The following is a 17,113-nucleotide window of genomic DNA, read 5'->3' as shown; positions in this document are numbered from 1 at the left end:
ATATGTGTAAATGGTTGAAACATCTTACTTTGTTGACTGAACTAGTCTAAATAGTCAGTCAAATTTTTTTTTTAGGCAAAAGTGAATTTCATCAAATTGGTTGGCCCACAATTTCTTAAATTCATCATTGATTGATTATCTGTGATGTGCCAATCCCTGTGCAAGTTCCTAGGGCAACAGAAGTAAAAATCCATAATCTCTGTTTCCAGGACTCTATCAGTTTGATAGGGACACAGGCACATAAGCAGACAATCATAATGCAGTGGTAGTAGGGATATGCCACTCTCATCCAGGCAGTGTATTGATGACCATGTCCTTGAGTTCCCAAGTACATTGAAAAAGGTGTAATAAGGAGATGCTAAATTAGCAGGTAGTACTTATATGAAGTTCTACTGTGTCTACTCCTGTGCCAGGTGTTTCGGTTGGGAATGAGTATTGGGTAAGAGGAGAATAGAAGATGGAAAGGCAGAAAACACCAACTCAGCTGATATGGTTGGGATGTTTGTCTCCTCTAAACCTCACATTGAAATGTAATCCCCAGTGTTAGAGGTGGGGCCTAGTGAAAGGTATTGGATGAGGGGAGTGGATCCTTCATGAATGGCTTAGTGTCATCCCCTTGGTGATGAGTGAGTTCTCGTTCTGTTAGTTTACACAAGATCTGGTTACTTAAAAGGGTGTGGAACCTCCCCCTCCTCTCTCTTACTCCCTCTCACCATGTGACATGTTGGCTCCCCTTCCCCCTCATCATGACTGTAAGCTTCCTGAAGCCCTTTCCAGAAGCAGAAACCGGCACCATGCTTCATGTACAGTCTGCAGAACCGTGAGCCAATTAAACCTCTTTCCTTCATAAAGCACACAGCTTCAGATATCTCTTTGTAACAAAGCAAAAACTGACTAACACATCACCCATTAAAGAGTTTACAATTTATTTAGAGGAAATAAGATGGAAGTGTAGGGAGTTATTAGAAAGCAAGACAACCTACAAATCTGTAAAGTATAAGCATCAAACTTTGTGAACAAAGAGTATGATGTAGGTATTGAGAAAAGAAAAAGTGGGATATAGGGTGGAACAGTCTCAGAAAAGTCCTCCCAAAGGACACAGGTAAGAGAAAGACATGGAAGAACTGGTCCAACTTACATTGGTAGAATCAGAGGGCTTAGGTCTTTTTTTTTTTTTTTTCTTTTTTTTTTTGAGACAGTTTCACTCTTGCTGCCCAGGCTGGAGTGCAATGGCACAATCTTGGCTCACTGCAACCTCTGCCTCCCGGGTTCAAGTGATTCTCCTGCCTCGCCTCCCAAGTAGCTGGGATTACAGGCGCCCGCAACTACGCCTGGCTAATTTTCGTATTTTTAGTAGAGATGGGGTTTCACCACGTTGGCCAGGGTGCTCTTGAACTCCTGACATCAGGTGATCTGCCCTCCTTGGCCTCCCAAAGTGCTGGGACTACAGGCATGAGCCACTGTGCCTGGCTGGGCCTAGGTCTTCTAAGCAGTGGAAATGGCAGAGGCAAGTGTCCAGAGCTGGGAATAAGGGGATGTTATGTGGGTATCATAGGGATGGGGGCAGGGGACTTCACAATAAGACACCAGCCAGTCTAAAGTTGAGTTTGTGTAGGATTTTTTACTCATATATTATTGAGGGCCATGCATTGAACTACATATTATGGATAAATAATTAATACATTCCTGCCATCTTGAAGTTTATAATCTAGTCCTACAAAGAAACTTATCAGAGAGGTTTCTCTGAGGCTTAGTGTGTTGCGGTCTATGCCTTTTCATTTCATCCTTCAAATACTGTCTACTCAATGAAATTTACCTGGCCTGTTCAGCCAAAATAATTTATAAAGGCAATAATAGCTAACATTATTAACACTCTCCTAGACCAGTGTACTGTACTAACTACTTTGCATGCCTTATTCATAATAAGTTAAGGTCTCTTATATTTTTCAGTGTACTATGCACCATGTTATGGTCTTTACAAAGATTACATAGTGTAATCTTTACACTAAACTTTGCAAGGGTGTACTACTATTATCCCCATTGTCTCTATGAGAAAGCTGAGGCTCTGCAAGGTTAAATGATTTCCCCAAGGTTCTCTTAAACTTCGTAGGGGAAGATGGAGGATGCTTAGAGAGTGGTATGAACAACATTGTGTGCCTCCTGATGTGATACAATGTGCAGCACATAGCACCGCTTTTGAAGTACTGCATGCTTGCCAAAAGAAAAATTGAACATAAACTTTCAAGTTTATTGAAAATGGAGGGTCCAGGAGTAGTGACTCATGTCTATAATCCCAGAACTTTGGGAGGCCAAGCCAGGCTGATCACTTGGGCCAGGAGTTCAAGAGCAGCCTAGCCAACATGGTGAAACCCTGTCTCTACTAAAAATATAAAAATTAGCTGGGCATGGTGGCTCATGCCTGTAATCCCAGCTACTTGGGAGGCTGAGACATGAGAATCACTTGAGCCTGGGAGGTGGAGGCTGCAGTGAGCTGAGATCACGCCATTGCACTCCAGCCTGGGCAACAGAGCAAGACTCTATCTCAGAAAAGAAAAAAAAATGAGAAAAGAAAATGGAGGGATAAAGGATTAAGATAAATGATGCCACAAAGAAGTAAACAGAAAAATTTAGAATTTTGGAGTGCAGGGACTGCAGGACAACTGACCAAATTTCTTCAACATGTCAAATATATGTGTGTTTGTGTGTGTTTATTCTATAAATATAATAAAAATATTTTTATATAAAAGTATATTATATATAAAAGAAAATTTGGATTGGATTAATGTAATGTTTACAGTTATGGTAATGGCTATGTTAATGTAATGTAATGTTAGGCCTTGTTTAGTTCCTGATTTGAACGAACTAATTTTTAAAAAGGCATTTTTTTAATAAGTAGGAAAATTTGAATATGGACTGGTTATTGGAGGGTACAGGGAAATATTCTCAATTTTCTTGGGTGTGATCATGGCACTGTAGTTATGGGAGAAAATGCTAATATTTTTTAGAGATATGCACAAATGTGTTGGGAAGTCACATCAAATGTGGGATTTGCTTAAAAATATTTAGCAACAATAACTACAACAGAAAAGAATAAGTGATGCAAACATGATGAATGCTTGCTAATTGTTAAAGCTGGGTGATGACTACATAAAGGATCATTGTATTAGTCTCTCAATCTTCCTGTGTTTGAAATTGTTTTAAATAAAGATTCATTTAAAATGCATGGCTTAAAATAGCCAATGAGGCTGAAAACAGATTCTCTTGTACCACTGAGCCCAGTTCTATGCACACAGTAGGTGCTTAATAGGTGTATTATGAATTACTAGAATTGGAGCATGGAAAACAGCTACAGGATGAATGAAAATCACCCTGTTCTCCTAAACATACAATCACAGCAGTGTGGGCTCCAGACAGAAAACCTCTCTTCTTTTTAAGTATGTTTATGCTGCATGTTGCTTTTTTTTTTTTTTTTTTTTTTGGTGGAATCTTCTCATCTCTTTGGCTTCAAGCCTTCCTTTACTGTTAATCTTCATCAAAATTCACATAGATAAAATTTTAAATGTGAGGTAGAAGGGCCTTTGCAGTGTGGTTCACCTAGTAAGTATAAATTGCTTTACTACAGAGAGCTTTGAATACAGGCTGACATTGGCCTTGTCTCCGAAAATAGCAAACTGCAGCCACAACTTAAACACAGACATGATGAAATCAATGTTTTAAGGAGATCAGTTTCCAGCTTCTCTGCTCAACATACCTCCAAAGCTGCCTTTCACAAAAGCATTTCTCTTGTATCAGGATATAGAACCACTCCCAAACCGTGATTGCAGAGGAATGAGGGCTCCCACAGGCCGAAAGACACTACCAGAACTAATCTATTGCTTTGAACATGACCAGGCTGTTTTTCCATATAAAATCCATGAGGGATATAAAAAATGACGTCAGCAAACATTCTTCCGGAAACTGATTTATTAGACCAAATATGAAATTACTGGTGCTTTTCCAAGGGGAAAGAAGATTGAAAGCTCCTGCATATAGCCTGTTTATATTAAGATATTTGTGTCTCAATTCCAGAAGCTGGCAATTGAACTCCCAGAAATAAACTGGCACCAATTCCCATGAATGAAATGACTATGAATCATTTCATTTTTGAAAATTAAACAAAGATGTGACTTAACAGGTGATGAGTTGGGTGGATGTGCAATATTTCCACAAACACTCAGCCATAATACGTGCTCATATTATTGGTATGATTCGGAACCCTTTAAACATTTCTATATCTGAGTCTTATGAGAGAGAAGAAACCCAGCCTGTCTGTTTAAACAAGCTTAGCAAATTATTTTGGCAGAAGTCTGTCTTTCAGTGTTTCCGATGAGGTGATGTGTAGTTTTAGGGCATGGAATGTCTCACATAGTCAGGACATCCTATTAGAAACAAGTGTCTGCTTGTGAATTGTCCCCTCACCTGAATGAGAAATGAGGAGAGAACCAGAATTAACAATCAATCTTTTTTTTTTCTTGTAGCGATGGAATCTCACTATGTTGTCCAGGCTGGTCTCAAACTCTTGGCCTCAAGCAATTCTTCCACCTCAGCCTCCCAATGTGCTGGAATTACAAGCATGAGCCACTGCGCTTGGCTAACAGTCCCTTCTTGACTCTCTTCTTTTACAAATCCAGAAGCCCATTTATCCATCACTTTGAGCATATAAAGCTGTGCTGTGATATACACTAATCATTAGCTACATGCGACTATGTAACCTTAAGTTAATTAAATTAAATTTAAAATTCAGGTTCTCAGTGCACTAATCACATTTCAAGTGTTCAATAATCACATGTCGCTAGTGCTACCATATTGAACAGCCAAGATTTAGAACATTTTCATTGCTCCAAAGAGAAGTGGGCTATTGACATAATCCCTATTTCTTCATTTTTTGAAGTCAGAAGAGAAGTATTTGTCCTATATTTCTCACAGAAAGATATCATAGGATCAGTAAGAATACACCTGGAATTAGTTTCTCTAAAACTCATTCTGAAACTCTGTAGCCTCAGTTTAAATAGTATAAAATTTTGACTCAATAAATCTTGAAATATTCAGTAAGAATGGCCAAACAGAAAAAATTCTGGAGTCTACTTGAATAGCTAATTGGATTTTTGATATTTGGTATAAAATAGCATTTAATTAGATCTCATTTGAAATGAACAGAGTGCATTATATGCATGTATATATTTGGAATACTGATTGGAAAAGGCCAGGCATGATGAAGACATGTTCGTGTAATACTTATCTTTTATCCTGTGTCTTGTCCTTAAGGAAAAGAAGACATCAAACAGGACACAAAGTAGCAAATGGGAGTTTCTTCTTAAATGTTATGTGAATGACTCACTTGTTAGGCAAGTGAGATGATCAAGGACGGGAGGAGAAGACAGCAGAAGAGCTGGAAGTAAAGTCACCTCCAAAGCTCTAGAGTTGGTAGTTCACGTCTATTTCCAGGAAGACTTCTAAATCTAATGAAATGATTTGAATGCAATGCTTTATCCAAAAATAAAAGCAATGTTAGATTATGCAGCACCTGTTAGCCAGTGAAGATTAATGAAAAAAAGCACTGCTGTGGAGAAAAAGTATCCACCATTATTTATTCAAAAAAAGAATGGAGCATCCACCAGTACTAATTATCGTGTTAGGTGTTTAGAGTATGTTAAGAGTAATAAGCATTCAAGAGATAATAGAATGGATAATTAATTACAACTGAAATAAATATTACAAAGGAAAAGTAAAGGGTCCCATAAAAGCACATAACAGGAGGACCAAAGCTTTTGAGAGTCAGAGGTCTTTCTAAAGAAATGACATTCAAGGAGACACCTAAAAGAGGAGTAGAGTTTATTCAGGTGAAGAAGTGGAGAAAGAGCATTTTGGGTGGAGGATATGTGTATGGAATTTCTAAAACAGGAAACAGCATTAGGCATTTGTTGTGTGGTAAGGCATAGCAAGCAAGAAAAAGGAGAATGTGACACAAGACTGGGAGGTAGGTGGACATCTGCTCATGCAGAACCTTATAGACCACGATCAGTGTATAAACTAATGAATGAAACATGCCTTCATATAAATATTGCTAGTTTGTGTTTTTATGAACAGTTATAATTCACAGAAAAAGACATAAGTATGCAGAAATATATGGTATAGAATGTTACTTAGTTATCCAAATCTATGAAAAGAAAGATTTCCAGATGGAAAGAGACAGTGTTTTCAAAGTTGTGGAGGTAAGAAAGAATATGGTGTTTTCTAGAAATAGTAAGGGGAAGGACAAGAGAAAAAGTTAAATTGTAGATGAGGCCAGATTGTCAAAATTTTCAAATGACAGGATAGGGTGAATGAACATCACCTGTTATGCAGCCAGGACTCAGACAACTTTCAGTAAAGAAGGGGCAAAGTGAGAGCTGTTTTAGGATAATAGATCAAGTGGTGGTGAATGGTTGGGGAGGGAAAAATTTAAATGGATATGAGAGTTTGGGTTTGATGTTGTGGCCAAAAGCAAGTTATGTTAGATTCTTAAAGTGGTCATAAAACCTTAATGAGGAAAATAATTCAGTAGGTAGGTGGAATAAAACTGTCACAAAAATGAAGTAAGGAAGAGTTAAGAGTGGCAGTTGGGAGGGTGGGGGTACTGGGGGGTGGATATAAAAGCCAGTGAGAATGAGTGGCTTCCCAGCCTTCATTTTCCTCTTCCCCTACTAACAGCAGCCAAATTTCCCTTTGGAGACCTACCCACCCAACTCAGCTTCATGGTAATTAGTATTGAGTAATGAATTTGGTATTTAGTAGTTAGATATTTAGAAATTGGTTCAGGAATTTACAGGTGACCCTATTTGGGCAAATAAGAAACAGACATTTGCTGAGGTTTCTCTAGGAAAGAAGTTTCTTCATGGTTTCCCAGGACCTATCAGGGGCGATGGTCTTTCTCCAGCTGAAGAGAGGAAGGTAAGGATGTGGAGACTGTAATAGCTGCAGCTTTTTATACAAGGATGAGGAAGCAGAATGCGAATGAGCCTATCAAAGCGGGGAGAGTAGAGGGAAAGGAATCACAGAGAAGTTGTTTCAATACCCTGATGACACTGAGAATCTCTGACTCAACCTCTGTGCTCCAGTTATAACTCAATACATTTCCCTTTTTCATACAGGTCAGTTTGTGCTGTAGCTTGATGCCACTACAATATTAATGACACAGGGAGAACAGATTAAAATGAGTTAATCTTTAAAAATAGAAAACCGATGAGAAATTATTGCCAGGCAGGATTAACTTTGTCCCAAATATTTGATAATATGAGAATTGGCTTAATAATCAAAAGTAGAAGGAAGAAATAAAATGAAAAAGATTATCATCTATAAATGATACAGCAGCACATGGTATTAAAACCAAAGATCTCACGTCTGGCCATGTGCTGCTGCTTTTTTTTTCCCCCAGAGTTGTTGCTTGCAATAAAGAACCATGACTGAAAAACGCTCCCTGAAAAGTGAAATCCAAAAATTTAAAGAAGAATATTTTAAACCACTGGGAATTGCTATTAACATTTAGGAATCTATCTTTCCAGCCATTTTTGTACATATGCAAATTTATTTTTAAAAGAATGGGATCCTGATGCCTACCCTGTATTACAATCTGAGTTTTTTACATAGCAATTTATAATAGACACATTTCCATGTCAATCAATGAAGATTTATATTATCTTCTTACCAGCAGTTTCACATTTATGTCTTTATAAAGAATATCGGCAGAGTGGTAAAGGGAAGGGGTTTTAAAAGCCAAAGCGCATGCTCAGATACTGGCTCTGCCTCTTGTCTCTCAAATACTCTGTGGTTCCTCATTTCTGTTTTGCAGCTTAAATGAAAAGTTACCTGTACAGTCCTGAGCACAATGCCTGGCACAGGGAATAAGGGTTACTATCATCATTTTTTAAATTACTAATATAAGGTATGCTGCAGGGGACCAAAGTGAGGAGATATAAAAGATATGTATGAGGTATGGAGATGGAATAGAATTGGGCCCTATCTACACAATACACAGTACATGACAGAAAAAAAAATCAGTAAGAGAAGCAACAAGAAATAACCAGAAATGACCATATTTTTTCATATAAAAATTACGTTACTGATTTGGGGGTCAAATAATTTTTAGAGCATAACTGATATAAAATTTGAGTGATGAGATTATTTAAACAAATGAACCTGTATGCCCCCCTATTTGATTTCTTCCCACTTTCTACAAATTAAAATGAACAGAAACATGAGTGGAGTTTATGGTCTTTATGAAGAAGTGATTTTCTCTGTGTCCTTAGGCAAAATGCCTTCAATTGACACAGGCTCCATCTGTACTCCAGGCAAAACTGCACGTTCTTCCTTTTTTAAATGTGTGTTTTTAAAATACCATTTGGCACCTACCCTACAAAGCTTAAAAATTAGATTTTGAAAAAAAAAATCACCCAAAATGTTGCCTCTCATATAGAGGCAAGCAAATTGGATTCATGTAAATGATCCTTAAGAAATGTCTTTAAGTCTGTATTCCAACAATCGCATTTTTTAAAATACACATTGATTTGCTTTTAAAATTTAGCCTCCTCATTTTTTTCTCCTGTATTAGAAAAGAATCTGCATTATGCAAGTATATCTTGCATTGAGAAACTTAGTAAATAAAAACTCTTATTTGCATCATAGAAAAATTAGGGAGTCATTATTTACCCTTTAAGATGATTTTCAAAAATAATTCAAAGTAAAATCCCTTTAAAGAGAACACTTGCCAGGGGAACTAAAAATATGATTTTAATGTAATACAACTTTTCTGAAACTCATCTACTATGTATAGTAACAAAACAATGAACATGAAAAAGTTGATTATATATCCTCCATTATATTCCCAACAGTATATGTATTTCTGTAAATATTTTGAGCTAAAAGAGATGGAAGTATCTCTAGCATGGACAGCCCTGGTGATTCAAGAAGCTGACCACATCCAGTGCAGACTGGTAAGACAGTAATAATAGGGGTTGGCCTTGCTTTGGAAGATTTTATACTTTGTATTAGTGTTCTTTTCCCTATCACATATTGAGTATTTACATTCTAAAACTTCCATTCTGTGAATTATTCAATAAATAGTGTTGTTTTGTGTTTACTGGATGACTTTGAAAAAATAAAGCAGGATTCCCTACCATACCCTTTACTATATCAAAATTAAGTCTGTATGGATCAAAGATGTGAGTGTAAAAAACATTAGTCTCCAAAGGCACTGATGAAATAAACAAACCAACCCCCAAAACAAAAAATAAATAAATAAACAAAAAAGATACCATAGACTTCTATTTCAGCAACGTGAAAACGTGAAAGACTAGGTTTTTGCAGACTTCCTCATGGTTCAGAACATCTACAAATTTGAATTAAATTAAAAAAAAATTAATGCATGAATGAGCTTTCAGGAGATTAAAGGGAATTCCCAAAGCCCTTGAGGCCAGAATCAACAATAAGGAGAAATAATCTAGTACTAAAATTCCTTACTCCTGGTAGCAAAAAGCCTTGGTTTTATTGGGGCAGACATGAGATGTGAGGGAATAAAGCAGAATGAGAAGGTAAAGCAGAGATTCTAGAATAAAGTTTCCCACAACCCAAAGGTTGACATCCTCCTTAGATGATTAATGAACTTGCAATGAGAAGAAAGTCATGGCCTGTCTCAGACTTGAGACAGTTGGAGCTGGAAAGGAGGGAGTATGGGAGGAAGGATCTCTCCTCTCACCAAATCCCTAAGCACAGGCTCCCATTTACACAAGTTGGGAGGATAAAATTAACATGACTTGTACAACCTGCCCTTTCCACTTCCCAAAAAAGCCTCTAGTCAAGATTTAGATGGAAATGATAAAATGTAGTTATTGGACTAAATAAAATTATATTTAAATAATGACCAACCATATAAGGGAAAATGAAATTGTATTTTCCTACCTTATACTATATGCAAAATATCAATTCTTGATGGTTTGATGACCTCTGAGAGAGACAAAGTTTTCAAAACTTTAATAAAAAATAAAGAAGTATATATTTTTAACCTTGATCTAGAAGAGAATTTCTTAAACAAGGTATAAAATGTGCAAACCAAAAAGGGAAAGGTTGATAGATTTGAAAATTAAAATTAAGAGCTGTTCATAAAAAGCAAAATATACAACGTGGAAAATGGCAATCTCTACATGGAGACTCTGATGAGCTTAGAAGGGAGCCTTCCAACGACTACTATAGAGCCCTTTCTTCAGTTCAATATGGGTCTCTTAACCTGTATTCTTCAGATAGAGACATTCATTTGGTTATAATGCCACTATGCTCAGGCCATCTTATCTAAAATATCATCGCTAGAGTTGCTATAAACACAGCATAAATTAAATTTCTGTGCAGCATTATATTGATCTAGTTTGACAATATCCTTTAGGAAATTCTTTTACTTGTTCACTCAATTGCTTATTCATTCATTCATTCATTCATACTAATTAGTAAACATTCATTAGGCATTTACTCTATGCCTAGCACTGCACTAACTCCTGAACATCCTCAAAAGAATCAGATCAGATTTTTAAAATTTATTCATTCCTTCATTCAACAACTATCTATTGAGCAACTACAATATACCAGGTACTGTTCTAAACACTGAAATACAGCAGGGAAATAAAGGGGAAATGTTCCTGTCCTTATGGAGTTTACCCTCTAGTGATATCTATCAATATCACATTAACATTAACATCTAAAGCTCTCTACACCCACCCCTTAGCTGTTGACTCAAGAATTCCAATCCCTTGCAAAAACTCCCCCACCGTCAATGTATTTCTGGTGGCCACCAAAGAAGTATCATTCATTCCCATAAATCAGGGCAGGCTGTCAGTTACCACTTGATTATGTCATTTAATTCTATGAGACATTCTATGTGGTCTTTAACTTTAAAATATATCAGCATAGACAGTAGTTTGTCTGTGAGAGAGTGTTTGCATACGTATTTTAATCCACATCTTAAAGTAGTTAATTACCCTAGTTAATTGCCCTAATTAAAACCACCTTAGGGTGGTCAATTAATATTCAAAGAATTCTAATCAGGAAAACACTCTCCAAAAATGACTAGCTTTTGTGAGACTATATTAGAATACAGTATTCCAGAAAGAGTTCCCACAGAACTACTTTATTCTTTAGCTATCATGATTTCTGGTCAACACCAAAGGTTTATTCATTAGCATAAAAATGTTAGAAATCATTTCTCATTGGTGAAATAAATAAAAGTGTTCCAGGCACTGCACTGTCTATAAGTATCATACAGACACACCCCCTTTACTAAAATAGCCCAATTGCTTCAAAAAAGAATCCCTAGATTTAGGATTCTGAAGAGAGGCTGGTGTTACCTAGAATCTACTAGAAATTTAAGTTGAATTCTACCTCTAAAAATTGTCCTATTAACCAATAGAGAATTACAGAGAGAGCTGGGATTTTGTCACACTTACAGAATGAGTTAGATGACTGTTTTTGTGCCTACCTATCTGGAAGAATTTGAGAATCTGGCCTGAGACTTGCTTTCATGTAGCAAGTAGCACCTGGTAGAGAAATTTTGAGGAGGAAACTGAAAGCCTTCTACCTGCAACGATTATAACATCTACCATCTACCTACCATCTACTAAAAAGAACCCAATCATAATCCTCGAAGGATCTAGTATTTGTGAATGAGCAAACTGGCTTAGGTCCATTTGCCACAAGTAGGCATTGTTATCCCACTTTAAAGAGGAGGAAACTAGTAAGATTTAGAGATGTTAAATCACTTCATCAAGTTTTCAAAATTAGTAAGTGGAGGAACTGAAATTTGAAAAGCAGATCTGTGCAATTCCATAACCTTTATTTCAAACCCTTAATCATTATATTATTATGAAATTCTGCCTCATTATTGGCCATCTGGCCATTTTTTACACTCTAGCCTTTGGAGGCAGAGATTGGCTCTCAATCCATGGGTGAGTTATAAGCACACTCATTGCAAGGTTTACCAACCAAGAATACATATTAATCCTATTAAACCTCCTGTCCACAATACCACTCCCTTGACTTTGGGCACATTTCTCTGGCACATTTTGGGGTGTACAGGTGGTTCTAGTGGACATGAAGGTCTTTTTTAGCTGTATCTGCCTCAGGAAGGCAGATGCAGGGCATCCTGAAATCCTACTACTTCCCTAAGACACTCTTCTCCAGAGGATTCTGAATGGAATCCTGTAGAGAGAAAAACTATAGGAAAGGGCCAAGTTGCTAATCTTATTAAAATAGTTCAATTGTTTGAACTCAGATGCTTGACAGCATATGAAGATGCACTGATCAGTTTACAAGCATGTAATCCAATCTAGATAATGTTCTGCCTAAAAAGGGACTACTTATACCCACTCTGGCAGCAGCCCAGACGCGGAGCTTTCTGGTTAGAGCAGCAAGATGCCCAAGCCAGTAGACTCTAGGACTTCATCGCTGCTGGGTAGGGTGGCTGCCTTCTCCCCACATTTTGATATTCCGTACATGTGCATAGGCATGCCAGGGTGACATTGCCTTTCTGTTAATTCCAGCACTGCACATCTGACTTGTGTTCTACTCAGCCCTTTATCCTTCCTCATCACCCATACAAATGGCCCCAAAGCTCCCCAACTGGTGCCTGGTGTTGAGCAGAAGGATCCACTCACTTTGGGATTAATAATATCTTAGCCCATTTGACCCTCATAACAAAATATTATAAACTGGGTACCTTATAAGCAACAGAAATTTATTTCACACAGCTCTGGAAGCCGGGCTGTCCAAGATCAAGGCAGATTTGGTGGTGTCTGGTGAGGGCCTGCCTTCTGGCTCATCAACAGTGCCACCTTGCTGTGTTCTCACATGGTGAAAGGGTGACCAGAGTTATTAGCACCTTATAAGGGCACTAATTCCATCATGAGGGCCCTATGTTCATGACCTAACCAGTTCCCCACAGCTCCACCTCCTAATACCATCACCTTGGGGGTTAGGTTTCGACATATTAATTTTGAGGGGACACAAACATTCAGTCTAGAGCAAACAATAGTAATAATAATAAAGCAATCATTTACTAAATATTTTCTCAGGGAGCAGCTGATATCCAATGACAGCTGATATGAAGATGCAAAGACCCAAGATTCTGTGATTCAATCTGGGACAACTCTGACGGCCCTTCCCAGCAACAGAGCTCGCCACAGGACAGCAAGGCCTGAGTTAGAACTGCCTTGTAGGTCAGCTTTTCCCTTTGCACAATGCAGCCTTCCTCATTTCCTTATAGCTGTATTTCCCAAGAGCACTTTCTAATAAACCTTCTGCATGCAGCTCTCCATCTCAAAGACTGTTTTCATAGAACTCAATCTAAGATAAGACACATCTTTTCAAAGGACAGATCCATTGTGAACTTTAGCAAGTAGGATCCCTCCGTGTATCACAGGGGCTTAGGGAGCCATGGAGGCTCCAAGAGGTGGGACAGCTATGAGACTGAGGCCCTGACAATTGGAAATGTTCATTAGTGAAACTATGCAGTATAATTTCATAGAAGATTATTCTATCTGGAGGCTAACAGATGGCTCTGAAGCCAAATTCGGGACTCTAATTCAACAGAGAGATTCTGCTGATGTCACCAGCACTTGAGCTGTGTGTTCCAGTGTGGGCTTTTTAAGGGTTTTGGTTGTCTTTTTTATTTTTTCTTTCCACAAACAGCCATAGAGACTTGAGAGTTAATTCAGCCTTGTAGTCACTCCAAGGCCATCTGTTGTTCAAATTAAAATACATATTTTTAACTTTAACCTTTCAATCTCTAAAGTTTTAAACCTTTGCAATAGAAACAGTCATTTTGCAACAGCTTTTCGGCTTCCTGATTCAGTGACATCAATGAAAGGGGAATGTCAGTTTTGGGAACGTCAGTAAGGATCGTTGGCAGGGCTGACATTGGTAGCGGGACATGGAGAATCTACCAGGTTATTTTCTGTTCTTGCATGACATGGTAACTAACATGCTGTGCTCTCGTTTGTTGGAGTCCATCAAAACTCTGATTAGATTTAATAAAGGATAATTTGAGAATTCACATTGCTTCTGAGGCATAAATAAATAAAAAAGGAGCTAGAAAAAAATGTTGCAGAATTTAGGCTCCTTTGTTAGTTCTATTAATCTGCTGGCATACTCTAATGAGGAAGTCAGAATAAAATATAACCAAAGTGCTAATTTCTTTTGAATGATTTTTTTTCTTATTTTAAAAGTCATGTACATTCATTGTAAAAAATAAGGAAAATGTGGAAAACTAAAAAGATACTTCTCCTGCTGTCTAGAGATTAATGCTTTTAACATCTTGGTATATTACATTCCTATTTACTTATTTATTTTTATTATTTTAGAGGCAGAGTCTTGCTGTGTTGCCCAGGCAAGACTCAAACTCCTGGGCTCAAGCAATCCTCCCACCTCAGCCTCTCAAGAAGCTTGGACTACAGCTGTATACAACCCTGTCTGGCTGTGCTCCTGTTTTTAAAGGTGAATTTAAATATCTATTTTATGCAGAGATCGGGTCACTATAATCCATGATGTGTTGTCCTTGATATTTGAATATGCTATTGCTAATCCCTGATTAAAAGGAGCATATGTTTTGAATCTGTTTGATCTTATTTCTTCTTACTAAAATGTATGATTTTTTGTGCCATCCACTTTATCTGTGACAAATGAATACATTTGCTAAAACTATTTTAAACTACACAAATTAAAATGGTATATTACCCTTCTCAGTTCAAATTAATTCAACAACCCTTTTTAAATGACAGTTACTATGTATTCTGCACTGTGCTAGAGAAAGAATAAGGATGGAGTTGGAACAGGGAGATACAACTGTGAAGACCACACAGTCCCAGACTCTAGGAGCTCGTATTTCCTTATTCATGCAACAAATATTTATTGAACACCTACTTTGTGCTGGCCATATGGTCATGAACAATAAGGACACGGTCCCTACCTTCATGGGGCTTACCTTCTGTTAAAGTAGACAGACAAAAATAAATGAGATTATTTCATATAGTTTGTATTAATCATATTTTTTTATTTTGTATATCTTATGACATTTTGACACCTGAAAAATCTTGTTGTCTGGAAAGAGACTTTTCCTGCAACACTAGCCAATTCTTAGAGATAGTTAAAAGCTCAGGATTGAGCTCTTATGAAAGGCATTCCTTTCACATGCCAACCAACCTATCCAGAGTCTATATCCCCAACTACCCCCTTTATCTAACCCTCACACACCAAGCTAATATTTTCCCTGCCCTAAATTATCCTGGAACCACGTATGAGGCAATTAGAGACCACCTTTATAGCCCAAAGCCCACAGAAATTATCAAAACTAGCCAGTCCTAAAGTATTTATTCTGCCCTGTCTTGACTTTCCCATGGAATCTCTGATAAAGACCGTGGCCTAGACTCTCCCCTTTCTGGCTTCTGCCTCCTACCAAAACCTGGTGCTTTCTCTGTGGCCCTGCGTGGTGTCGTATATCCCCTTCTCTTGGGAAATGTAAGTAATAAGTCTTGTTCCAATGGCATTGACCTCTCCATGTTGTCACCTCCATTAACTAAAATCACTGAGACATAGTGGTAAATACACTTGGCCCTCCACATTCGTGGGTTCTGCATTCATGGATTCAACTGCCTGCGGGTCAAAAATGTTCGGGAAAAAAAAGTTCCACAAAGTTCCAAAAAGCAAAACTTGAATTTGCCACATGCCAAGTGCTATGTTTAATTCAAGCAAATGAAATGATGTGTAAGCATTGTATTAGGTATTATAAGTAATCTAGAGATGATGTCAAGTATACAGGAGGATGTGTGTATGTTATATGCAAATACTATGCTATTTTACATAAAGGACTTGAGCATCCTAGGATTTTAGTATCCTCCAGGGGTACTGGGACAAATCTCTTACAGATACCAAGGGAAGACTGTACAATGAAGGCAAAAAAAAAAAAAAAAGTATGTTCTAAAAAAAAGCTGAGGGCTGCTACTTCATAGAAGGGATGAAAAAATGCTTCTCTAAGGAGGGGGTTTTTTGGCTAAAACCTGTATGGGGAAAAAACCCCCCCAACCAAAGGATTTTCTAACCAAAAGTAACACCAAGGGCAAATATCCTGAGGCAAGGCTACCTTTGCTGGTTCAGGAAACAAAAAGGCCAGGTTGGCTAAACCAAAAAGGAACAAAAAAAAATGGAAAAGGCAGGGGGGCCAAATTTCTTGGAGGCCCTAGGAATAAAACAAACCAAACCCCCTTGCAAATAACCTTGACAATGCTTTATGAACAGAACATATTTTTTGCACTTCTTTCAAAGTCTTTGGGGATACAATACTGGGGTATCCACAAGTTTAAATCTCTGAGGCAATTCCAGGAACTGTGTCACAGCAAAATTGGTGACACTTTCAGGTGGATGTATTTGATAGCATTCATTAATCTGTACTCTGGCCTTTCTCCTACATTTCCTGTAAAGTGCGTTTTTGTAAATTGAAAGAGGACTGTTTTCATCCAGCAGTGCTGAGTGAAGTAATAAATGTTACACTGTGCATAATAAGGTCAAAAACCTAGTGCAAGGTGCATATCCCTTTGTGGTTTGTGGGTGGGGATTGAGGGTGGTAATAAGTGGGGGGTGGGAAGAGGGTGGTTCTCCTTAATTAAGTTCTTTGTTGAAGCCCAGCTTACCAACTGTTGGGTTCAGAGCCTGCACATGACTCACGATTCACAAGCTGGCCCTGAATCCTCATTAGAATGAAATCTAGGTGGCTTAGACCTGACAGCTTTTAAAGTCAGATGCAAAAAGATGCATTCGCCTTTTCAGTTTGGTGTGACATAATTTTGTTTTCATTTACCTGCCAAGTTGATAAGAATATTTAGTTTCTAGGTTCATAAAACAGACTCCAGGTATCATAGAGAAGGGATTTTTTAAAAATTCCCCTTTTCCCATAATGCAAAATATTTTCTTTTGAGTAAAGCTTGGGCTGCAGATTTACTCAAATGAAAGGGAGTGGGTGGAGAATAGTTTATTAACAACAATAACACAAGCCAAGCTTTAAGCTTAG

The 17,113-nt window shown here is 37.7% G+C and overlaps 1 long non-coding RNA gene across 5 annotated transcripts in view; it reads right to left on the bottom strand.

Moving 5' to 3' along the window:
- Nucleotides 1–17,113, bottom strand: part of BDNF-AS (BDNF antisense RNA) — a 191,320-nt gene that overhangs the window by 80,641 nt on the left and 93,566 nt on the right. The window lies entirely within an intron of this gene.

The sequence above is a fragment of the Homo sapiens genome, chromosome 11 (assembly GCF_000001405.40).
Source record: "Homo sapiens chromosome 11, GRCh38.p14 Primary Assembly".
Classification (NCBI taxonomy): Eukaryota; Metazoa; Chordata; class Mammalia; order Primates; family Hominidae; genus Homo; species Homo sapiens.
The sequence above is the reverse complement of the archived record's forward strand: the minus strand, read 5'-3'. Positions and strand labels throughout refer to the sequence as shown.